The 27,108-nt window shown below is 39.3% G+C and overlaps 1 protein-coding gene and 1 long non-coding RNA gene across 3 annotated transcripts in view, besides 1 other annotated feature; both read right to left on the bottom strand.

The window, feature by feature from the left end:
- LOC124900486 (uncharacterized) overlaps positions 1–12,569 on the bottom strand; it is a 150,609-nt gene extending 138,040 nt beyond the window's left edge. Inside the window, exon 1 of the long non-coding RNA XR_007068245.1 lies at positions 11,973–12,569. This is a non-coding gene — a long non-coding RNA (uncharacterized LOC124900486). The remainder of the gene's footprint in view (positions 1–11,972) is intronic.
- The window catches only part of KLF8 (KLF transcription factor 8), a 383,409-nt gene that overhangs the window by 224,478 nt on the left and 131,823 nt on the right, over positions 1–27,108 (bottom strand). The window lies entirely within an intron of this gene.
- Positions 531–790: an enhancer, noted in NCBI's record as "active region_29686". NCBI's record gives its function as "activates an Ori minimal core promoter by ATAC-STARR-seq in GM12878 lymphoblastoid cells {active_cell/tissue: GM12878}" and the evidence as "EXISTENCE:reporter gene assay evidence [ECO:0000049][PMID:35858748]".

The following is a 27,108-nucleotide window of genomic DNA, read 5'->3' as shown; positions in this document are numbered from 1 at the left end:
GGAGGAGAGAGAAGCAAGGTAGTCTGCTTGGTCAGAATTGGCTTGGAGCCTGGAAAGGATCTTCAGTTAATGGAAAGTGAAAGGCTGCCAGCAGTCCAAATTCCCAGCATGATCTTCTGCAATCCTAACCATTGTAAAGCCCCTTGGCCCTTGTAGGCCTGGAGACTAATGTAGGGAGTGGCCTGGAGAACACATTGTGACACTGCTCCACAGAAGAAGCTCACTCTGTGTCCCAAACACCTCCTGAGTCCTAGGCAGTTACAAGGCACCATTTGGAAGGTCTAGTCCCCATCAGACTGCATCCTGCCTTAGGTCTCAACAGTTTTTGTATATTCACATCCTTGGAGCCTAATTGATATCCTCCACCCACATCCAGGTACCACTGCTGGCTAGTGCCAACAGGATTAAAGCAGGAACCATTAACAGTGAGCCTGCTACCCCCAGTAGCAGGACCAACACACATGTACAAGTGCAATGAAGACAAGCTACCCTGCTTGCAAAAATCACCTGGTGCTGAAGTATATGCTCCCCAGCTGCATGCCTAGTGCTGCTGCCAATGCAAGCAACCTCACCCTCCTGAGCATCAGGGAAGCAACAAAACTACTGCTGCACCAACCTGCACATACTGCACATATCCAGGCCCCTGTCTACCATAGTCGGTGCTCACATGAACCACTGAGGGGCCTGAGAGCAGGCCCATCTGGCCCAACTATGCCCCTGCAGAGCCTGAGGCCAACATCTGGGGGCCTGGGAATCACCCTGCCCCATTCATCACCTTTGACATCTGAGCACTCCTCCTAGGAGACTGAAGAACACCCAACATGCCACGACTGCAGCTGGCACCCACCCACACAAACTGCAAGCTTGAGTACTTTTGTGCACAGCATATCACAGAAACCACCAACACTAGAGGAAACCACCTGGGAGCCAGAGTGTTGTTCTGCCCTTATTACTGCCATCACTCATGCTACACCCTTTACCCAAGGCCCCAAAGACTCACTCACCCACTTGGGCAAATGGTGAAACTGCCTGTACCTGAGCAAGCTGTTTGGGGTCCAACAAATCAGCCTACCTAGACCTGCTGTCATTGGGGCCCAAAACTAGGCACACTAAATCCACTGCTGCCACATTGGAAGCCTGAAGACAGGCATACTTGGCATTCACATCCACACACAAACATCACAACAGCCTCTATTAGCAACTGCACTATAAACCACTGAAGAAATCATAGCAATAACTGCTGTTTACAGTCAAATAACTCATACAAGGACTATATTACTGCAAACACCCAGAATCAAACCCAAAGTTCCCTACCCAACCAACAACATAAATCCATCTTTAAAAAAAACCCATCTTTGTGAAAATAAATTCAAAAAATTGAAAGAAGCTATTTGTACATTAGATACACAGATATCAACATAAGGACACAAGAAATATAACAAAGAAAAGACAACATCTCCAAAGGAATGCAACAACTTTCCAGCAACAGATCCAATGAAAAAAAATTATGAAATCTTAAAAAAGAATTGAAAATGGTATTAAAAATCTCAAAAAGATACAAGAAAACAGATATTATTTTTAAATAACAATTTAAGATATTAATGAGAAATTTACAAAAAATAGATATCATAAAAAAATCTGGAACTAATTAATTCATTGAATGAAATAAAAATATATTTGTAAGTTTCAAAACTAGGCTAAATCAAACAGAATTTCAGAACTTGAAGACAGATCTTTTCAAATAACCCAGTCAGAAAAAAACAGGAAAAAATTAAAAAGAATAAGGAAAGTCAACAGGACATATGGGACACCATAAAGTGACTAAATATTCAAAATTGTGATGTCCCAGAAGGTGAAGGGGAAACAAAATAAATAGAACAGCTATTTAACAAAATAATAGCTGTAAACTTCCTAAGCCTAGCAAAATGTTTAGATATCTAATACATAATAAGCAGAAATTCCAAAATATACACAACTAAAATTTCTTCCCCAAGTCACATTACAGTCAAACTGTAAAAAGTCAAAGAGAGAATTCTAAAAACCCCCAAAAATGCACATAAAGGCGCATATAAAGGAACTTTCATGAGACTAACAGCAAAATTCTCAGCAAACCTTACATGCCAGGAGAGAATTGGATAATATATTCCAAGTGGTGAAAGAAAAAAAACTGCCAGCCAACAACGCTATACCCAGTAAAGGAACTTTTCGTAAATGGATGAGAAATAGTCCTTCCCAGAAAGGCAAAAGCTGAGAGGGTTTATCACCACTAGAATGCCCCTACCAGAAATGCTTAAGAAAGTCGTACACCTGGAAGTGAAAGGACAATAGCCACCATTATGAAAACGCATAAACATATAAAACTCACTGGTAGAGGAAACACAAAAAATAATAAAAAGAAAGCACTGAAATGGTACCACTACAGAAAATCACCAAACCCCAGTGATAAATAGAGAAAAATAAAGAAACAAAGAATATATAAAACAACGAGGAATCAACTAATAAAATGACACAAGCAAGTCCTGACATATCAATAATAAGCTTGAATGTAAGCAGGTTAAATTCTCCACTTAAAAGATATTGACTGGCAGAATGAATTTTTAAATGACCCAATTATATGCTGCTCACAAGAAACTCACTTCACATGTAAATGCGTATCTAGTAAAAGTAATGGGATGAAATAAAATGTTCCATGGAAATGAAAACCAAAAGCAAGCAGGAGTAGCTGTACTTAAATAACAGACTTTAAAGAAAAAAAAGGCAAAAAGACAAAAAGTATTACACAATAATAAAATAATAAATTCAGCAGGAGAATATAATACCTCCTGAGTCCTAGGCAGCTACAAGGCACCATTTTGAAGACCCACACAAGACTGCATCCTGCATATATATATATATACACACACACACATATATATGTATATACATATATATACACACACATACGTATATATGTATATATGTATATATACACACACATGTATATATGTATATACATATATATACACATACATGTATTATATACACATGCACATTCTATATATATGTGTGTGTGTATATATATATTGATATATATGTACATATATAGAAGGTCATAAACCTGGAAGTGAAAGGATAGTATCCACCATTATTAGAACACATAGGGAGCCTACTGCAGCTCGGTGAAGCTGCCATAGCCATACTGTCTCTCTAGATTCCTCTGCTCTGGGCAGGGCATCTCTGAAAGACAGCAGCCCCAGTCAGGGACTTACAGATAAAACTCCCATCTGCCTGAGACAGAGCACCTGGGAGAAGGGGTGGCTGTGAACACAGATTCAGTGGACTTAAACATTCCTGCCTGCCAGCTCTGAAGAGAGCAGGGGATCTCCCAGCACAGCACTTGACCTCCACTAAGAGACAGACTGCCTCCTCAAGTGGGTCCCTGACGCCCATGTCTCCTGACTGGGACACACCTCCCAGCAGGGACATCTCATACAGGAGAGCTCTGGCTGCCTTCTGGTGGGTGCCCCTCTGGGACAAAGCTTCCAGAGGAAGGAATAGGCAGCAATCTTTGTGTTCTGCAGCCTCTGCTGGTAATACCCAGGAAAACAGGGTCTAGAGTGGACCTCCAGCAAACTCCAGCAGACTTGCAGCAGAGGGGCCTGTTAGAAGGAAAACTAACAACAGAAAGGAATAGCATCAACATCCACAGAAAAAACAACCACACAGAAACTTCATCTGAAGGTCACGAACACTAAAGACCAAAGGCAGATAAATTCACAAAGATGAGGAAAAACCAGTGCAAAAAGGCTGAAAATTCCAAAAACCAAAAGGCCTCTTCTCCTACAAAGGATCCAAAATCCTCACCAGCAAAGGAACAAAACTGGATGGACAATAAATTTGATGAATTGAAGGAAGTAGGCTTCAGAAGGTGGGTAATAACAAATTCCTCAGAGCTAAAGGAGCATGTTCTAACTCAATGCAAAAAAGCTAAGAATCTTGAAACAAGGTTAGAGGAAATGCTAACTAGAATAACCAGTTTAGAGAAGAATATAACTGACCTGATGGAGCTGAAAAACACAGCACGAGAACTTCGTGAAGCATACACAAGTATCAATAGCCAAATCGATCAAGCAAAAGAAAGGATATCAGAGATTGAAGATCAACTTAATGAAATAAAACATGAAGACAAGATTAGAAAAAAAAGAATGAAAAGGAGCAAACAAAGCCTCCAAGACAGATGGGACTGTGTGAAAAGACCAAATCTATGTTTCATTGCTGTACCTGAAAGTGACTGAAAGAATGGAACCAAGTTGGAAAACACTCTCCTGGATATTATCCAGGAGAACTTCCCCAACCTAGCAAGACAGGCCAACATTCAAATTCAGGAAATACAGAGAACACCACAAAGTTACGCCTTAAGAATCATCAGATTCACCAAGGGTGAAATGAAGGAAAAAAAGTTAAGGGCAGCCAGAGAGAAAGGTGTGGTTACCCACAAAAAGAAGGCCATCAGACTAACAGCAGATCTCTCTGCAGAAACCCTACAAGCCAGAAGAGAGTGGAGGCCAATATTTAACACTCTTAAAGAAAAGAATTTTCAATCCAGAATTTCATAACCAGCCAAACTAAGCTTCATAAGCCAAGGAGAAATAAAATCCTTTATGGACAAGCAAATGTTGAGAGATTTTGTCACCACCAGGCCTACCTTACAAGAGCTCCTGAAGAAAACACTAAACAAGGAAAAACAAAGACAAAAACACAAACAAAAAACAAGGTACCAGCCACTATAAAAACCTGCCAAATTGTAAAGACCATTGACACTATGAAGAAACTGCATCAACTAACAAGCAAAATAACCAGCTATCATCATAATGACAGGATCAAATTCACACATAACAAAATTAACCTTAAAAGTAAACGGGCTGAATGCCTCAATTAAAAGACACAGACTGGAAAATTGGATAAAGAGTCAAGACCCATCACTGTGCTGTATTCAGGAGACCCATCTCACATGCAAAGACACACCTAGGCTCAAAATAAAAGGACAGAAGATTAACCAAGCCAAAAAGAAAAAAAAAAAAAAAAAAAGCAGGGGTTGCAATCCTGGTCTCTGATAAAACAGACTTTAAACCAACAAACATCAAAAAAGGCCAAGAACATTAAATAATGGTAAAGGGATCAATGCAACAAGAAGAGGTAACTATCGTAAATATATATGCACCCAATACAGGGGCACCCAGATTCATAAAGCAAGTTCTTAGAGACCTACAAAGAGACTTAGACTCCCACACAATAATAGTAGGTGACTTTAACACCCCACTATCAATATTAGACAGGTAAACAAGACAGAAAAGTAAGAATATTCAGGACTTGAACTCAGCTCTGGACCAAGCCGACCTAATAGACATCTACAGAACTCTCCACGCCATATCAACAGAATATACATTCTTCTCAGCACCACATTGCACTTATTCTAAAATTGATGACATAATTGGAAGTAAAACACTCCTCAGTAAATGAAAAAGAATGGAAATCATGACAAACAGCCTGACAGACCACAGTGCAGTCAAATTAGAACTCAAGATTAAGAAACTCACTAAAAACCACACAACTAGATGGAAACTGAACAACCTGCTCCTGAATGACTGCTGGTAAATAACGAAATTAAGGCAGAAATAAATAAGTTCTTCGAAACCAATGAGAACAAGGACATAACTTACCAGAATCTCTGGGATACAGCTAAAGCAGTGTTTGGAGGGAAATTTATAGCACTAAATGTCCACAGGAGAAAGCAGGAAAGATCTAAAATTGACACCCTAACATCAAAATTAAAAGAACTAGAGAAGCAAGAGCAAACAAATCCAAAAGCTAGCAGAAGACAAGAAATAACTAAGATCAGAGCAGAATTGAAGGAGATAGAGACACAAAACACCCTTCAAAAAATCAATGAATCCAGGAGCTGGTTTTTTGAAAAGATCATCAAAATAGATAGACCTCTAGCCAGACTAATAAAGAAGAAAAGAGAGAAGAATCGATATCACCTCTGATCCCACAGAAATACAAACTACCATCAGAGAATACTAGAAACACCTCTATGTCAATAAACTAGAAGACCTAGAAGAAATGGGTAAATTTCTGGACACATACACACTCCAAAGACTAAACCAGTAAGAAGTCGAATACCTGAATACACCAATAACAAGTTCTGAAATTGAGGCAGTAATTAATAGCCTACCAACCAAAAAAACCCAAGACAAGACAGATTCACAGCCGAATTCTACCAGAGGTACAAAGAGGAGCTGGTACCATTCCTTCTGAAACTATTCCAAACAATAGAAAAACAGGAACTCCTCCCTAACTCATTTTATGAGGCCAGCATCATCCTGATACCAAAACCTGGCAGAGACACAACAACAGCAACAAAAAAGAAAACTTCAGGCCAATATCCCTGATGAACATCGATGTAAAAATCCTCAATAAAATACTGGCAACCTGAAACCAGCAGGATATCAAAAAGCTTATCCACGATGATCAAGTCAGCTTCATCCCCAGGATGCAAGGGTGGTTCAACGTACACAAATTAATAAATGTAATCCAACACATAAACAGAATCAATGGACAAAAACCATATGATTGTCTCAATAGATGCAGAAAAGGCCTTCAATAAAATTCAACACCTCTTCATGCTAAAAACTCTCAATAAACTGGGTATTGATGGAAAGTATCTCAAAATAACAAGAACTATTTATAACAAACCTACAGTCCATATCATACTGAATGGGAAAAAGCTGGAAGCATTCCCTTTGAAAACTGGTACAAGACAAGGATGCCCTCTCTTACACTCTGATTCAACATATTATTGAAAGTTCCGGCCAGGGCAATCAGGCAAGAGAAAAAAATAAGAGGTATTCAAATAGGAAAAGAGGAAGTCAGATTGTCTCTTTTGCAGATCACATGATTGTATATTTAGAAAACCCTGTCATCTCAGCCCCAAATCTCCTTAAGCTGACAAGCAACTTCAGGAAAATCTCAGGTCTCACTGCTCAAGGAAGTAAGGGAGGACACAAACAATTGGAAAATCATTCCATACTCATGGACAGGAATAATCAATGTCATGAAAATGGCCATATTGCCTAAAGTAATTTATAGATTCAATGCTATCTTCATCAAGCTACCATTGCCTTTTTTCACAGAATTAGAAAAAATTACTTTAAATTACATATGGAAGCGAAAAAGAGCCCATATTGCCAAGACAATCCTAAGCAAAAAAATAAAAGCTGAAGGCATCACACTACCTGACTTCAACTATACTACAAGGCTACAGTAAACAAAACAGCACGGTACTGGTACCAAAACAGATATATAGACCAATAGAACAGAACAGAGGCCTCAGATATAATGCCACACGTCTACAACCATCTGTTCTCTGACAAACTTGCCAAAAACAAGTAATGGGGAAAGGGTTCCCTATTTAATAAATGGTGTTGGGAAAACTGGCTAACCATATGCAGAAAACTGAAACTGGACCCCTTCCTTACACCTTATACAAAAATTAACTCAAGATAGATTGAAGATTTGAATGTAAGACCTAAAAGAAACAAAAACCCTAAATGAAAACCTAGGCAATATCATTCAGGACAAAGGCATGGGCAAAGGCTTCATGACTAAAACACCAAAAGCAATGGCAACAAAAGTCAAAATTGACAAATGGGATCTAATTAAACTAAAGAGCTTCTTCACAGCAAAGGAAACTATCATCAGAGTGAACAGGCAACCTACAGAACGGGAAAAAATTTTTGCAATCTACCCATCTGGCAAAGGGCTAATATCCAGAATCTACAAAGAACTTAAAGAAATTTACAAGACAAAAAGCAAACCACCCCATCATAAAGTGGGCAAATGATATGAACAGATACTTCTCAAATAAGACATTTATGCGGCCAGCAAACACATGAAAAAAAGCTCATCATCACTGGTCATTAGAGAAATGCAAATCAAAATCACAATGAGATACTATCTCATGCAAGTTAGAATGATGATCATTAAAAAGTCAGGAAACAACAGATGCTGTAGAGGATGTGGAGAAATAGGAACACTTTTACACTGTTGGTGGGAGTGGCAATTAGTTCAACCATTGTGGAAGACAGTGTGTCAATTCCTCAAGAACCTAGAACCGGAAATATCATTTGACCCAGCAATCCCACTACTGGGTATACACCCAAAGGCTTATAAATCATTCTACTGTAAAGACACACGGACACATATGTTTATTGCAGCAGTATTCACAATAGCAAAGACTTGGGACCAACCCAAATGCCCATCAATGATAGACTGGATAAAGAAAATGTGGCACATATACACCATAGAGTATATGCAGCCATAAAAAACGATGAGTTCATGTTCTTTGCAGGGATAGGGATGAAGCTCAAAACCATCATTCTCAGCAAACTAACACAGGAACAGAAAACAAAACCCCACATGTTCTTACTTGTAAGTGGAAGTTGAACAATGAGAAGACGTGAACACAGGGAAGGAAACATCACACACCAGGTCCTGTTGGCGGTGGGGGTGGGTGGGGGTGGCACTAGGGGAGAGAGAGCATTAGGAGAAATACCTAATGTAGGTGACGGGCTGATGGGTGCAACAAACCACCATGGCATGTGTATACCTATGTAACAAACTGGCACATTCTGCACAGGTATCCCAGAACTTAAAGTATATATAAAAAATAAAACAAACATATAAAACTCACTATATATATATATATATATATATATATATATATATATATATATGTATATATATGTATATATATGTGTATATATACGTATATATATGTGTGTATATATATATACACGTATATATATGTGTATATATATATGTATATATATATGTGTGTATATATATATATATATGCCCAACACTGGTGCACCCAGTTGCCACTGAGGGACCAAGATGATTGGCACACTCCTAATGTATCATCAGAGTGGAGAGAAGAAAGAAACAGTAGCTAGCAAGACGGAGGAAGCGGGGCTACTCCACGCGGGGACTTGTTCCTGGCCGCCAGTAACTCCAGAAGAATGCATGAGTTCAAATGGTAAAAAAGCAACCTGTTCTCTCCATTGGCTTCTTGAATGCAAGCAGAAGGAGACCTCTCAACCACCATGGACACTCGAGTTGGCAGGGATACCTGCTTAAAGAAGTGGTAAGGGTAGCAATCCAGCTGAGGTGAAGCCCAGAGAGTTTCGTGCAGCAGCATCTGTAGTGGAGCAGAGGCAGAGACAGCCATTCCCCCAGGCTTGACTTGCTCCCATAGGAGACGTTAGCCCTAGAGGAACTATTGAACCTTAACTCTGCAGGGTGTTCTTGTCCACCACATGGGGCTGGTCTGACATGAGCACCCCTTAATTTCCTGGCCTCTCCAGTTGGCCCCAGCCTAGTCACACTTGTTCAAAGAAGCCTTGAGTGCCCTAGGGACCTGCATCATGGCTTCTGTGCTGGTGAAACGTTTCTGACCAATGGAGAGCTCCAACAGTGCTGCCCCCATGGCCACACAAGAGACTTTCTGCTACCTCCTCACAATGCAGCTTCCCGTGGGCCAACAGCAACCCCGCACATCACTTTGATGACAAGTGTGTACGTGGGCATGTTTGCTTTCCTTGGTTTGTCAGTGCACCTCTATGCATGCACCCTGCCCTTCCACTGCTACAGCAAATATACAAACCACCACCCTCTCTCCACAAACCACCATTGCAGTCAGAGCCTTGGCAAGCACAGAATCAGCAAGGCCCACCCTTGCACCAACACTGTCACAGGAGAAAAACTAAGCATAAAGAAAAAGGAATTCTCCTCCACCCTGAGCAACCACCCATATCTGTGGCACAAAAAGAATGCACACAGACCTACGCCCCCCAGAGCTCCAACCCCATGCCAACACCACCACCATCATGAACCTTGCAAAAAAGGACCCCTTGGCCCCAAGCCGAACTGCCTTCACCACTGTGATGAACACTCACATAGAGGCAGTCCCCCAAGCCCCTGTTAGCACCCTGTCACAGGTGACAAGTGTGCACCCTGCCAGACTGCTGCTGTTGCTGGCACATGCAAAAACGAACAGATTCTTCAGTAACCGCATTACAAAACATTTTGGCTGACACCACCCATCAGAGTCTAGTGACCAGCTGTTGGAGAGCACCTTGGCCCCTCAGTGTAGTGCATTTCTTTTTTTTTTTTTTTTTTTTTTACACCTGCAATGATACACTTCTTTTTTTTTTATATATACTTTAAGTTTTAGGGTACATGTGCACATTGTGCAGGTTAGTTACATATGTATACATGTGCCATGCTGGTGCGCTGCACCCACTAACTCGTCATCTAGCATTAGGTATATCTCCCAATGTTATCCCTCCCCCCTCCCCCCACCCCACCACAGTCCCCAGAGTGTGATATTCCCCTTCCTGTGTCCATGTGATCTCATTGTTCAATTCCCACCTATGAGTGAGAATATGCGGTGTTTGGTTTTTTGTTCTTGCAATAGTTTACTGAGAATGATGGTTTCCAGTTTCATCCATGTCCCTACAAAGGACATGAACTCATCATTTTTTATGGCTGCATAGTATTCCATGGTGTATAGTGTAGTGCATTTCAAACATCAGAGAGACAGAGAACAATGCTGGGGCCTGATAAAAGGCCCCCAGAGTGAGAGCAAATGGTACAAGAATTCAAAGTAGAGTGTTGTTCCCCTAAAATCTTCCAGAAATGAAGCCAGTTGGCTTAAGTGACTTCATACCACAATCAAACCATAAAGGGCGTAAATAAAATACAAGAAAAAAATCCAAGTTCAGCAACTTAGACCAAAAATTTTAAAAATAAAAAAAACCCATAAGCCCATAAAGATGAGAAAACCAACACAAGAACCCTGACAACTCAAAAGGCCAGAGTGCCTTGGTCTTCCAAATGACTGCACCACCTCTCCAGCAAAGGTTCTGAACAGGGCTGATGGCTGAAATGACAGAAATAAAATTCAGAATATGAATAAAAAGGAAGATCATTGAGATCCAGGAGTACATCAAAACCGAATCTATATAAGCTAAGAATCAAAATAAAATAATATAAGAGCTGAAAGATAAAATAGCCACTATAGAAAGAAATATAACTGAACTAATAGAGCTGAAAATCACACTACAAAAATTTCATAATGCAATCAAAAGTATTAATAGGAAAATAGACCAAGTGGAGGAAAGAATCTCAGAGCTTTAAGACAGGCTTTCTGAAACAAGACAGCCAGACAAGAAGAGAGAAAAAAAATTAAAAAAATCAACAAAACCTCTGACAAATATGGGATTGTGTAAAGAGACCAAATCTTTGATTCACCAAAGTCCCTGAGAAAGATGGAGAGAGTGTAAACAACTTGGAAAACATATTTCAGATTATCATCCATGAGAACTTCTTCAACCTAGCTAGAGAGGCCAAAACGCAAATTCAAAAAATGCAGAGAATCCCAGTAAAATACTTCTGAAGAAAATCATCCCCAAGCAACATAATCATCAGATTCTCCAAACACAAAATAAAAGTAAAAATGTTAAAGGCAGCTAGAAAACAAGGTCAGGTCACCTAGAAAGGGAATCCAATCAGACAAACAGTGAACTTCTCAGCAGAAACCCTACTGGAAAGACAATATTCAACATTCTTAAAGAAAATAAACTCCAACACAGAATTTCATATATAGCCAAACTAAGCTTCATAAGCAAAAAGAAAATAAGATAATTTTCAGACAAGCAAATGCTAAGAAAATTTGTTGCCATCAAACCTACTTTAAAAGATCCCCTGAAAAAGTCACTAAATATGGAAAAGTAAGCCCATTACCAGCCACTACGAAAACATACTGAAATACAGAGGCCAGTAACAATATAAAGCAACTACATAAACAAGTCTGAAAAATAGCCAGCTAATATCATGTTGACAAGATCAAATGTACACATATCAATACTAACCTTGAAGGTAAACAGGCCAAATGCCCCAATTAAATGGCACAGGGTAGTAAGGTCGATTAAATTCCAAGACCCATTGGCAAGCTGTCTTCAAGAAATCCATCTCACATGAAATCACACACATAGACTTAAAGGGATGCAGAAAAATCTACCAAGAAAATGGAAAAAAAAGAAAGCACAAAATGTAATCCTAACTTCAGGCAAAACAAATTTTAAACCAATAACATCAAAAAAGACAAAGAAAAGCATTATGTGATGGTAAAGGGTTCAATGAAACAAGAAGACCTGTCATAAATATATATGCACCGAGCATAGGAGTACTCTGATCCGTAAAGCAAGATCTTAGAGACCTTCAAAGAGACGTAGACTCACACACAGTGAGAGTGGGAGACTTCAACACAACACTCAACATATTAGAAAGATCATCAAGGCAGAAAATTAACAAAGATATTCAGGACCTAAACTCAGCACTAGCTTAACTGGACCTGATAGATATCAACAAAACTCTCCACTCAAAAACAGTAATATATACATTCTTCTCATATCCACATGACAAATACTCTAAAATCAATCATGTAATCATAATTAAAACAATCCTAAACAAAAGCAAAAGAACAGAAATAATAACAACCAATCTCTCAGACCACAGCACAAAAAAATAATAAACCAGGACTAAAAAATTCATTCAAAACCATACAATTATATGAAAATGGAATAACCTGCTCCTGAATGATGTTTGGGTAAATGATGAAATTAAAATAGAAATCAAAAAGTTTGTTCAGACTAATTAGAATAAAGATACAACATCCCAGAATCTCTAGAATACAGCTAAGGCAGTGTTAAAAGGAAAATTCATAGCACTAATTGCCCATATCAAAAAGTTAGAAAGCATGCCACTGCACTCCAGCCTGGGCGACAGAGAGAGACTCCGTGTCAAAATAAATAAATAAATACATAAATAAATAAATAAAAAGAAAGATCTCAATTTAACAACTTAACATCACAACTAGAAGAACTAGAGAACCAAGAAAAAGCCAACCCCAAAGGTAGCAGAACACAAGAAATAACCAAAATCAGAACTGAAAAGAAGATAGAGATATGAAAAAGCATTAAAAGATTAACTCAAGGAGTTGGTTTTTTGACATAAAATAATAAAATAAGTGCATAGCTAGCTAGAATGAAGAAATAGGGAGAGAAGATCTAAATAAACACAATCAAAAACTATGAAATGGATATTACCACAAACCCTACAGAAATACAAATTAACACCAGACAGTATAATAACCCACAATGCATATAAATAAAAAGATATAGAAAAAGATAGATGAATTCCTGGACACATACACCCTCCCAAGATGAAACCAGGAAATAATTGAATCTCTGAACACACCAATAATGAGCACCAAAAGTGAATCACTAATAAATAGCCTACCAATTAAAAAAGGCCCAAGACCAGAAGAATTCACAACTAAATACTAACAGATGTACAAAGAAGAGCTGGTATCATTCCGGCTGAAACTATTCCCCAAAAAAAAAAAAACAAAGAAAAGACTTCTCCCTAAATTATTTCACGATCCTGACATCAAAACCTAGCAAGTAAACAACAAAAAAACCCACCCCAGGCCAATATCCTTGATGAAAATTGATGTAAATATCTTCAACAAAACACTGACAAACTGAAGCTGGCAGCATATTAAAAAACTTATCCACCAAGATCAAGTACATTTTATTCATAGAATTAAAAATTGGTTCAACATACACAACTCAAAAAATGTGATTCATTATATAAACAAAACAAAAAATAGGGGGAGGAGCCAAGATAGCAGAATAGGAACAGCTCCCAGCGTGAGCGACGCAGAGGACAGTGATTTCTGCATTTCCATCTGAGGTACCGGGTTCATCTCACTAGGGAGTGCCAGACAGTGGGCGCAGGTCAGTGGGTGCGGGCACCGTGCGCAAGCCGAAGCAGGGCGAGGCATTGCCTCACTTGGGAAGTGCAAGAGGTCAGGGAGTTCCCTTTCTGAGTCAAAGAAAGGGGTGACAGACGGCACCTGGAAAATCGGGTCACTCCCACCTGACTACTGCGCTTTTCTGACGGGCTTAAAAAACGGCCCACCACGAGATTATATCCCACACCTGGCTCGGAGGGTCCTACGCCCACGGAGTCTCGCAGATTGCTAGCACAGCAGTCTGACATCAAACTGCAAGGCCGCAGGAGGCTGGGGGAGGGGTGCCCGCCATTGCCCAGGCTTGATTAGGTAAACAAAGCAGCCAGGAAGCTCCAACTGGGTGGAGCCCACTGCAGCTCAAGGAGGCCTGCCTGCCTCCTTAGGCTACACCTCTGGGGGCAGGGCACAGACAAACAAAAAGACAGCAGTCACCTCTGCAGACTTAAATGTCCCTGTCTGACAGCTTTGAAGAGAGCAGTGGTTCTCCCAGCACGCAGCTGGAGATCTGAGAATGGGGAGACTGCTTCCTCAAGTGGGTCCTTGACCCCTGACCCCCGGGCAGCCTAACTGGGACGCACCCCCCAGCAGGGGCACACTGACACCTCACACGGCAGGTATTCCAACAGACATGCAGCTGAGGGTCCTGTCTGTTAGAAGGAAAACTAACAAACAGAAAGGACATCCACACCAAAAACCCATCTGTACATCACCATCATCAAAGACCAAAAGTAGATAAAACCACAAAGATGGGGGAAAAACAGAACAGAAAAACTGGAAACTCTAAAAAGCAGAGCACCTCTCCTGCTCCAAAGGAACACAGGTCCTCACCAGCAATGGAACAAAGCTGGATGGAGAATGACTTTGACGAGCTGAGAGAAGAAGGCTTCAGACGATCAAATTACTCTGAGCTATGGGAGGACATTCAAACCAAAGGCAAAGAAGTTGAAAACTTTGAAAAAAATTTAGAAGAATGTATAACTAGAATAACCAATACAGAGAAGTGCTTAAAGGAGCTGATGGAACTGAAAACCAAGGCTTGAGAACTACGTGAATAATGCAGAAGCCTCAGGAGCCGATGCAATCAACTGGAAGAAAGGGTATCAGCAATGGAAGATGAAATGAATGAAATGAAGTGAGAAGGGAAGTTTAGAGAAAAAAGAATAAAAATAAATGAGCAAAGCCTCCAAGAAATATGGGACTATGTGAAAAGACCAAATCTACATCTGATTGGTGTACCTGAAAGTGATGGGGAGAATGGAACCAAGTTGGAAAACACTCTGCAGGGTATTATCCAGGAGAACTTCCCCAATATAGCAAGGCAGGCCAACGTTCAGATTCAGGAAATACAGAGAACACCACAAAGATACTCCTCGAGAAGAGCAACTCCAAGACACATAATTGTCAGATTCACCAAAGTTGAAATGAAGGAAAAAATGTTAAGGGCAGCCAGAGAGAAAGGTCGGGTTACCCTCAAAGGGAAGCCCATCAGATGAACAGCGGATCTCTCAACAGAAACCCTAGAAGCCAGAAGAGAATGGGGGCCAATATTCAACATTCTTAAAGAAAAGAATTTTCAACCCAGAATTTCATATCCAGCCAAACTAAGCTTCATAAGTGAAGGAGAAATAAAATCCTTTACAGACAAGCAAATGCTGAGAGATTTTGTCACCACCAGGCCTGCCTTACAAGAGCTCCTGAAGGAAGCACTAAACATGGAAAGGAACAACCGGCACCAGCCGCTGCAAAATCATGCCAAAATGTAAAGACCATCGAGACTAGGAAGAAACTGCATCAACTAACGAGCAAAATAACCAGCTAACATCATAATGACAGGATCAAATTCACACGTAACAATATTAACTTTAAATGTAAATGGACTAAATGCTCCAATTAAAAGACACAGACTGGCAAATTGGATAAAGAGTCAAGACCCATCAGTATGCTGTATTCAGGAAACCCATCTCACGTACAGAGACACACATAGGCTCAAAATAAAAGGATGGAGGAAGATCTACCAAGACAATGGAAAACAAAAAAAGGCAGGGGTTGCAATCCTAGTCTCTGATAAAACAGACTTTAAACCAACAAAGATCAAAAGAGACAAAGAAGGCCATTACATAATGGTAAAGGGATCAATTCAACAAGAACAGCTAACTATCCTAAATATATATGCACCCAATACAGGAGCACCAAGATTCATAAAGCAAGTCCTGAGTGACCTACAAAGAGACTTAGACTCCCACACATTAATAATGGGAGACTTTAACACCCCACTGTCAACATTAGACAGATCAATGAGACAGAAAGTCAACAAGGATACCCAGGAATTGAACTCAGCTCTGCACCAAGCGGACCTAATAGACATCTACAGAAAACTCCACCACAAATCAACAGAATATACATTTTTTTCAGTACCACACCACACATATTCCAAAATTGACCACATAGGTGGAAGTAAATCTCTCCTCAGCAAATGTAAAAGAACAGAAATTATAACAAACTACCTCTTAGACAACAGTGCAATCAAACTAGAACTCAGGATTAAGAATCTCACTGAAAACCACACAACTACATGGAAACTGAACAACCTGCTCCTGAATGACTACTGGGTACATAACAAAATGAAGGCAGAAATAAAGATGTTCTTTGTAACCAATGAGAACAAAGACACAACATACCAGAATCTCTGGGACACATTCAAAGCAGTGTGTAGAGGGAAATTTATAGCACTAAATGCCCACAAGAGAAAGCAGGAAAGATCTAAAATTGACACACTAACATCACAATTAAAAGAACTAGAAAAGCAAGAGCAAAAACATTCAAAAGCTAGCAGAAGGCAAGAAATAACTAAAATCACAGCAGAACTGAAGGAAATAGAGACACAAAAAACCCTTAAAAAAATTAATGAATCCAGGAGCTGGTTTTTTGAAAGGATCAACAAAATTGATAGACTGCTAGCAAGACTAATAAAGAAGAAAAGAGAGAAGAATCAAATAGACGCAATAAAAAATGATAAAGGGGATATCACCACCGATCCCACAGAAATACAAACTACCATCAGAGAATACTACAAACACCTCTATGCAAATAAACTAGAAAATCTAGAAGAAATGTGTAAATTCCTGGACACATACACCCTGCCAAGACTAAACCAGGAAGAAGTTGAATCTCTGAATAGACCAATAACAGGAGCTGAAATTGTGGCAATAATCAATAGCTTACCAACCAAAAAGAGTCCAGGACCAGATGGATTCACAGCCGAATTCTACCAGAGGTACAAGGAGGAACTGGTACCATTCCTTCTGAAGCTATTCCAATCAATAGAAAAAGAGGGAATCCTCCCTAACTCATTTTATGAGGCCAGCATCATTTTGATACCAAAGCCAGGCAGAAACACAACAAAAAAAGAGAATTTTAGACCAATATCCTTGATGAACATTGATGCAAAAATCCTCAATAAAATACTGGCAAACCGAATCCAGCAGCACATCAAAAAGCTTATCCACCATGATCAAGTGGGCTTCATCCCTGGGATGCAAGGCTGGTTCAATATACGCAAATCAATAAATGTAATCCAGCATATAAACAGAGCCAAAGACAAAAACCACATGATTATCTCCATAGATGCAGAAAAAGCCTTTGACAAAATTCAACAACCCTTCATGCTAAAAACTCTCAATAGATTAGGTATTGATGGGACGTATTTCAAAATAATAAGAGCTATCTATGACAAACCCACAGCCAATATCATACTGAATGGACAAAAACTAGAAGCACTCCCTTTGAAAACTGGCACAAGACAGGGATGCCTTCTCTCACCACTCTTATTCAACATAGTGTTGGAAGTTCTGGCCAGGATAATCAGGCAGGAGAAGGCAATAAAGGGCATTCAGTTAGGAAAAGAGGAAGTCAAATTGTCCCTTTTTGCAGATGACATGATTATATATCTAGAAAACCCCATCGTCTCAGCCCAAAATCTCCTTAAGCTGATAAGCAACTTCAGCAAAGTCTCAGGATACAAAATCAATGTGCAAAAATCACAAGCATTCTTATGCACTAATAACAGACAAACAGAGAGCCAAATCATGAGTGAACTCCCATTCAAAATTGCTTCAAAGAATAAAATACCTAGGAATCCAACTTACAAGGGATGTGAAGGAACTCTTCAAGGAGAACTACAAGCCACTGTTCAATGAAACAAAAGAGGATACAAACAAATGGAAGAACATTCCATGCTTATGGGTAGGAAGAATCAATATCATGAAAACGGCCATACTGCCCAAGGTAATTTAAAGATTCAATGCCAACCCCATCAAGCTACCAATGACTTTCTTCACAGAATTGGAAATAGCTACTTTAAAGTTCATATGGAACCAAAAAAGAGCCTGCATTGCCACGTCAATCCTAAGCCAAAAGAACAAAGCTGGAGGCATCATGCTACCTGACTTCAAACTATACTACAAGGCTACAGTAACCAAAACAGCGTGGTACTGGTACCAAAACAGAGATATAGACCAATGGAACAGAACAGAACCCTCATAAATAATGCCGCACATCTACAACTATCTGATGTTTCACAAACCTGACAAAAACAAGAAATGGGGAAAGGATTCCTTATTTAATAAATGGTGCTGGGAAAACTGGCTAGCCATATGTAGAAAGCTGAAACTGGATCCCTTCCTTACACCTTATACAAAAATTAATTCAAGATGGATTAAAGACTTACATGTTAGTCCTAAAACCAAAAAAACCCTAGAAGAAAACTGAGGCAATACCATTCAGGACATAGACATGGGCAAGGGCTTCATGTCTAAAACACCAAAGACAATGGCAACAAAAGCCAAAATTGACAAATGGGATCTAATTAAACTAAAGAGCTTCTGCACAGCAAAAGAAATCATCATCAGAGTGAACAGGCAACCTACAGAATGGGAGAAAATTTTTGCAATCTACTCATCTGACAAAGGGCTAATATCCAGAATCTACAATGAACTCAAACAAATTTACAAGAAAAAAACAAACAACCCCATCAAAACACGGGCAAAGGATATGAACAGACACTTCTCAAAAGAAGACATTTATGCAGCCAAAAAACACATGAAAAAATGCTTATCATGACTGGCCATCAGAGAAATGCAAATCAAAACCACAAGTGAGATACCATCTCACACCAGTTAGAATGGCAATCATTAAAAAGTCAGTAAAGTATAGGTGCTGGAGAGGATGTGGAGAAACAGGAACACTTTTACACTGTTGGTGGGACTGTAAACTAGTTCAACCATAGTGGAAGTCAGTGTGGCTATTCCTCAGGGATCTAGAACTAGAAATATCATTTGACCCAGCCATCCCATTACTAGGCATATACTCAAAGGATTATAAATCATGCTGCTATAAAGACACATTCACACGTATGTTTACTGCGGCACTATTCACAATAGCAAAGACTTGGAACCAAGCCAAATGTCCAACACTGATAGACTGGATTAAGAAAATGTGGCACATATACACCATGGAATACTCTGCAGCCATAAAAAATGATGAGTTCATGTCCTTTGTAGGGGCATGGATGAAGCTGGAAACCATCATTCTCAGGAAACTATCGCAAGGACAAAAAACCAAACACCACATGTTTTCACTCATAGGTGGGAATTGAACAATGAGAACACATGGACACAGGAAGGGGAACATCACACACCGGGGACTTTTGTGAGGTGGGGGAGGGGGGAGGGATAGCATTAGGAGATATACCTAATGCTAAATGATGAGTTAATGGGTGCTGCACACCAACATGGCACATGTATACATATGTAACAAACCTGCACATTGTGCACATGTACCCTAAAACTTAAAGTATAATAATAATAAAAAAACGAAAAAAATAAACAAAAAAGACAAATACATAGCATAAATAAAAAAAAACATCACAACTTCTGGAAATCAAGGACACACTTAGAGAAATGCAAAATGTACTGGAAAGTCTCAGCAATAGAGTCAAATAAGCAGGAGAATGAAACTCAGAGCTCAAAGACAAGGCTTTCAAATTAACCCAAATCATCAAAGACAAAAAAAAAAATTAAAAAATGAACAAAGCCTCCAAGAAGTTTCGGACTATGTTAAATGTCCAAACCTAAAAATTATTGGTGTTCATGAGAGAGAAGAGAAATCTAAAAGTTTGGAAAACATATTGGAGGGAATAATCGAGGTAAACTTCCCTGGCCTTGCTAGAGATCTAGACAGCCAAATAAAAGCTCAAAGAACACCTGGAAAAAAGATCATCGCCTAAGCACATAGTCATCAGGTTATGTAAAGTCAAAACAAAGGAAAAAATCTTTACAGCTGTGAGGTAAAAGCATCAGGTAACCTATAAAAAATGTATTAGATTAACAGCCAATTTCTCCACAGAATCCCTACAAGCTAGAAGAGATCGAGGTCCTATGTTTAGCCTCCTTAAACAAAATAATTAGGAAAGAATTTTGTATCCAGTGAAACAAAGCTTCATAGATGAAAGAAAGGTACCGTTTTTTTTTTCCAGAAAAACAAATGCTGAGAGAATACGACACTACCAATTCAGCACTAAAAGAACTTCTAAAAGTACCCTCAAATAGAACCTCCTTAACGCATAAATCTCACAGGACATATACAACAAAAACACACTGAAAAATGCACAGGGTATTCAGACAACAAATAGCACAATGAATAAAATAGTACCTGACATCTCAATACTAACATTGAATGTAAATGAGCTAAGTGTTCCAAAGTACTAATAACAGAGTAGGTAGTATCACCCTAATCCTAATACCAAAACCAGAGAAGGGCATAACAAAAAAAGAAAACTGCAGGCTAATATGCCTGATGATCATAGATGCAAAAATTCTCAACAAAATACTAGCAAACAATATTGAACAGCATATCAACAATATAATCCACCATGATCAAGTGGGTTTCATACCTGGGATTCAAGGATGGTTTAACATATGTCAGTCAATAAATGTGATACACCACATAAACAGAAGTAAAAACAAAAATCATACAATCATCTCAAAAGATGCAGAAAAAACATGTGACAAAATCCAGCATAACTTTGTGATGAAAACTTTCAGCAAAACTGGCATAGAAGGGACATAACTTAAGGTAATAAAAGCCACTTTTGACAAACCCACAGCCAACTTTATACTGAACAAGGAAAAGATGAAAGCATTCCCCCTGAGAACTGGGAAGAGACAACGATGCCTGCTTTCACCACTTCTATTCAACATAGTACTGGAATTCCTAGCCAGAGCAATCTTTGCTGATGATATGGTCATGTACCTAGAAAACCCTAAAGACTCATCCAAAAAGCTCCTAGATCTGATAAATGCATTCAGCAAAAATTCAGGACACAAATTTAATGTACACAAATCAGTAGCTCTGCTATACACTAACAGTGACCTAGCAGAGAATCAAATCAAGAACTGAACCCCTTTTTACAACAGGTGCAAAAAAAGTAAAATAATTAGTAATATACCTAACCAAGGACATGAAAGACATCTACGAAAACAAAAAACAAACAAACAAAAACACTGCTAAAAGAAATCATAGATAACACAAATGAAAACAAATCTTATTTTCACAGATGGGTAGAATCAATATTGTGAATATGACCATACTGCTAAAAGCAATCTACAAATTCAATGCAATTCCCGTAAAAATACCACCATCATTCTTTACAGAACTAGAAAAAATAATTCCATAATTCATACAGAACGAAAAAAAAAGTTTTCATAGGCAAAGCAAGACAAAGCAAAAAGAACATATCTGGAAGCATCACATTACCAAACTTCAAACTATACTATAAGGCCCTAGTCACCAAAACAGCATGGTACTGGTAAAAATATAGGCACATAGACCAATGGAACAGAATAAAGTACACAGAAATAAAGCCAAATACTTACAGCCAACTGATCTTTGACAAAACAAACAAAAACATAAAGTGAAGAAAGGACACCCTATTCAACATATGGTGCTGGAATAACTAGCAAGCCATACGTAGATGAACGAAACTGGATCCTCATCTCTCACCTTATACAAAAATCAACTCAACATGGACCAAAGAATTAAATCTAAGACCTGAAACAATAAAAATTCTAGAATGTTGGAAAACCCCTTCTAGACATTGGCTTAGGCAAAGAGTTCATGACCAAGAACCCAAAAGCAAATACAACAAAAACAAAAATAGATTGGACTTAATTAAACTAAAAAGTGGCAAAGCAGGAAATCTGTCCATACATAACTTTAGAAATGGGGCTGAATCCTGGAAGCCAGGCAGCATCATTCTGCAGTCTCCTCTTCCACAGCACCTCACAAGTTAAGACTCACTGGCTTGGAATCCCATCCAGCCAATGGCAATGGGTTGGAGTCTACCTGAGATGGGTCTGACTTCCCAGGGTGAGAAGGAGCCATGATCTCTGCGATTTTGTTGACTAAGCCATTGTATCCTGCCAGCTGTGGGTAATAAAGATGGTATGGACAAGGGATGGTCCCCCACAGTGCAGCACAGCTGCCTTGCCAGATTGTGGCGAGACTGTTTCTTTAAGTGAGAGCACAATCCATTTTTCCTCACTGGGTGGGACCTCCCTGCAGGGCCTTCAGACAATCCAGGCAGATTGCTATGGACAAAGCTTTAACCTCTCCATAGGGTGAAGCTCCCAGTGGGATGATAAGCTGACATCTCTGTAGTTCAGTTGACTCAGCAACTCCAGCCTGCTGGCTTTGAAGAATACAGGCAGTCTGGACAAAAAGTAAACCCTGCAACACAACACACTTTGTCTCCCAGAAAGCAGCCAGACTGCTTCTTTGGATGGGTGCCTGAACTCATTCCTCCTTACTGCATGAGAGGTCCTAACGGGGACCTCCAGCCATCATATACAGGTGTACAGGCCAGGAACAGGTCAGTACCCCGCTGGGATGAAGCTTCCAAAAGAAGGAGCTGGCTGCCATCTTTGTTGTTTCACAGTCTTCACTGGTGATACCTCCAGGTACAGAAGAAAGTGAGGCAACTGGGGTCTAAAGCAGACTCAAAGCAAACTGCAACAGCCCTATGGCAGAGTGGCCTGACTGTTCAAAAAAAATTACAAACAGAAAACAACAACAACATCAACAAAAAAGAACCCACAAAAACCTCATTCAAATGTCAGCAACCTCAAAGATAGAAGGCAGATAAAGCCACAAAGACAGAAAGAATCAACAGAAAAATGCTGAAAACTCAAAAACCAGAGTGCCTCTTCTCTTCCAAATAACTGCAACACCTCTCCAGCAAGGGCACAAAACTGGCTGAGACTGAGATGGCTAAATTGACAGAAGTAGGCTGCAGAAGGTGGGTAATAATCAACTTCGCTGAGCTAAAGGAGCATGGGGTAACCCAATGCAAAAAAGTTAAGAATCATGATAAAACAATGCAGGAGCTGATAGCCTGAATAGCCAGTTTCGAGAGAAACATAACTGACCTGATGGAGATGAAAAACACAACATCAATCACAAGTATCAATCACAGAATAGAAAAAGCAGAGAAAAGAAACTCAGAGCCTGAAGACTATCTTTCTGAAATAAGACAGGCAGAGAAAAACAGAGAAGAAAAAAACAAAAAGGAATGAAGAAAACCTCTGAGAAATATGGGTTCATTATAAAGACACTGAAACTATCACTGATTGGGGTACCTGAAACCGACAAGGTGAATGGAACCAAGTTGGAAAATATACTTCAGGATATCATCCAGGAGAACTTCCCCAACCAAGCAAGACAGGCAAACATTCACATTCAAGAAATGCAGAGAACCCCTGTAAGATACTCCATGAGAAGATCATCTCCAATACACATAATCATCCAATTCTCCAAGGTCATAATGAAAAAAAAAAATTTTAAGGGCAGCCAGAAAGTCCAGATTACCTACAAAGGGAAGCCTATCAGATTAACAGCGAACCTCACAGTGGAAACCCTACAAGCTGGAAAAGATTGGGGGCCAATATTCAACATTCTTAAAAAAAAAGGATTTCCAAAACAGAATTTCATATTTGGCCAAACTAAGTTTCATAAGCAAAGGAGAAATAAGATATGTTTCAGACAAGCAAATGCTGAGGAAGTTCATTAACACCAGGCCTGCCTTGCAAGAGGTCCTGAAGGAAGCACTATAAAAAAGAAACCATTACCAGACACTACAAAAACATACTGAAGTACACAGTCCAGTGATATTATGAGGCAACCACATAAAGAAGTCTGCAAAGTAACCAGCTAGCGTCTTGATGACAGGATCAAATTTACACAGAACAATACTAACCTTAAGTGTAAACAATCTAAAAAACACAGAATGGCAAGATAAAGAGCCAAGACCCATCTAATTGCTGTCTTCAAGAGACCCCTCTCAGGCAAAAACACACACATAGGCTCAAAATAAAGGAATAGAAGACAACTTTACAAGCAAATGAAAAACAGAAAACAACAGCGGTTGCAATTCTAGTTTCTGACCAAAGAAACTTTAAACCAACAAAGATTTAAAAAGACAAAGAAGGGCATTACATAATGGTAAAGTGTTCAATTTAACAAGATAAGCTAATTATTCTAAATATATATGCCCACATTCCAGGAGCATCCAGACTCAAGCAACTTATTAGAGACCTAAAAGAATCATAGACTCCCACACAAAAATAGTGGGAGTACTTTAACACCCCACTGACAGAAAATTAACAGATATTCAGGACCTGAACTCAGCTCTAAATCAGTCGGACCTGCTACAGAACTCTCCACCCCAAATCAACAGAATATACATTCTTCTCATTGCTACATGGCACTTACTAAAAAATTCATCATAAAATCAGAAAGAAAACACTCCTCGGCAAATGCAAAAGAACTGAAATCATAACAAACAGCCTCTCAGACCACAACACAAATTAAACCTCAATGTAAAGAAATTCACATAAAACCATACAAGTACATGGAAATTGAACAACCTGCTCCTGAATGACTCCTGGGTAAATAAGAAAATTAAGCCAGAAATCAGTAAGTTCTGTGAAACTAATGAGAACAAAGGGACAACAAACCAGAATCTCTGGGATGCAGCTAAAGAAGTGTTAAGAGAGAAATTTATAGCACTAAATGCCCACATCAAAAAGCTAGAAAGGGCTGGGTGTGGTGGCTCATGCCTGTAATCCCAGCACTTTGGGAGGCAGAGGCAGGCAGATCATGAGGTCAAGAGATCAAGACCATCTGGCTAACATGGTGAAACTGCGTCTCTACTAAAAATACAAAAGTTAGCTGAGTGTTGTGGCATGTGCCTGTAGTCCCAGCTATTCGGGAGGCTGAGGCAGAAGAATCCCTTGAACCCAAGAGGTGGAGGTTGCAGTGAGCTGAGATCATGCCACTGCACTCCAGCCTGGTAACAGAGTGAGACTCGATCTCAAAAACAACAACAACAACAACAACAACAACAACAACAACAAAACTAGAGAGATCTCAATTTATCAACCTAACATCTCAACTAAAAGAACTAGAAAACCAAGAGCAGCCAAATCCCAAAGCTAACAGAAGACAAGAAATAACCAAGATCAGAGCTAAACTGAAGGAGATAGAGACATGAAAAACCATTCAAAAAGTCAATGAATCCAGGAGAGGTTTTTTGAAAAAAAAAAAAATAGATAGACTGCTAGCTAGACTAATAAAGAGAGAATAGACACAATAAAAAATAATAAAAAGGGTTGGGCGAGGTGGCTCATGCCTGTAATCCCAGCACTTTGGGCGGGTGGATCACCTGAGGTCAGGAGTTCAAGACGAGGCTGGCCAACATGGTGAAACCTTGTCTTTACTAATAATACAAAAATTAGCTGGGCATAGTGGCGCACACCTGTAAATCTAGCTACTTAGGGGGCTGAAGCAGGAGAATCGCTTGAACCCGGGAGTGGAGGTGGCAGTGAGCCGAGATCATGCCATTGCACTCCAGCCTGGGCGACAAGAGTGAAAAGAGTCTCCAAAAAAGAAAAGAATTAAAAAAGGATAAAGCGGATGTCATCACTGACCTCACAGAAATACAAACAACCATCAGAGAATACGATAAACACCTCTATGCACATAAACTAGAAAATCTAGAAGAAATGGATAAATTCCTGGACACATGCACCCTCTCAAGACTGAACCAGGAAGTTGAATCCCTGAGTAGACTGATAACAAGTTCTGAAATCGAGGCAATAATAAATAGCCTACAAACCGGAAAAAAAAAAAAAAAAAGCCCAAGACCAGACAGATTCACAGCTGAATTCTACCAAAGGTACCAAAAAAAAAAAAAAAAAAAAAAAAAAAAAAAAAAAAAAAAAGCTGGTATCATTTCTACTGAAACTATACCAAAAAATTGAAAAGGAGGAACTCCTCCCTAACTCATTCTATTAGGCCAGCATCATCCTGATAACAAAACCTGGAAGAGATACAGCAATGGAAGAAAACTTCAGGTCAATATTCTTGATGAACATTGATGCAAATATTCTCAACAAAATAACCACATCCAGCAGCACACCAAAAAGCTTATCCACCACAATCAAGTAGGCTTCATGCTAGAGATGCAAGGTTGGTTCAACACACATAAATCAATAAATGTGATTAATCACGTAAACAGAACTAAAGACAAAAACCACATGATTATATAAATAGATGCAGATAAGGCTGTCGATAAAATTCAACATTCCTTCTTGTTAAAAACTCTAAATAAACTAGGTATCGAGGGAACAGAAGTCAAAGTATTAAGAATCATCTATGACAAACCCACAGTCAATATCATACTGAATGGGAAAAATCTGGAAGCACTGCCCTTGAAAACTGGCACGAGAAAAGGATGCCCTCTCCCACCACTCCTATTCAACATAGTATTGGAAGTTCTGGCCAGAGCAATCAGGCAACAGAAGAAATAAAGGGTATACAAATTGGAAGAGAGGAACTCAAATTATCTTTGTTTGCAGATGACATGATCCTGTATCTTGAAGCCCCCATTGTCTCAGCCCAAAAGCTTCTTAAGCTGATAAGAATCATCAGTAATGTCTCAGGCTACAAAAGCAATGTGCAAAAATCACTACTATTCCTATGCACCAATAACAGGCAAGCAGAGAGCCAAATCATGAATGAACTCTCATTCACATTTGATATAAAAATAATAAAATGCCTAGGAATAGAGCTAACAA

This window comes from Homo sapiens, chromosome X (genome assembly GCF_000001405.40).
Source record: "Homo sapiens chromosome X, GRCh38.p14 Primary Assembly".
NCBI lineage: Eukaryota > Metazoa > Chordata > Mammalia > Primates > Hominidae > Homo > Homo sapiens.
This window is presented reverse-complemented; position numbering and strand designations above follow the sequence as displayed.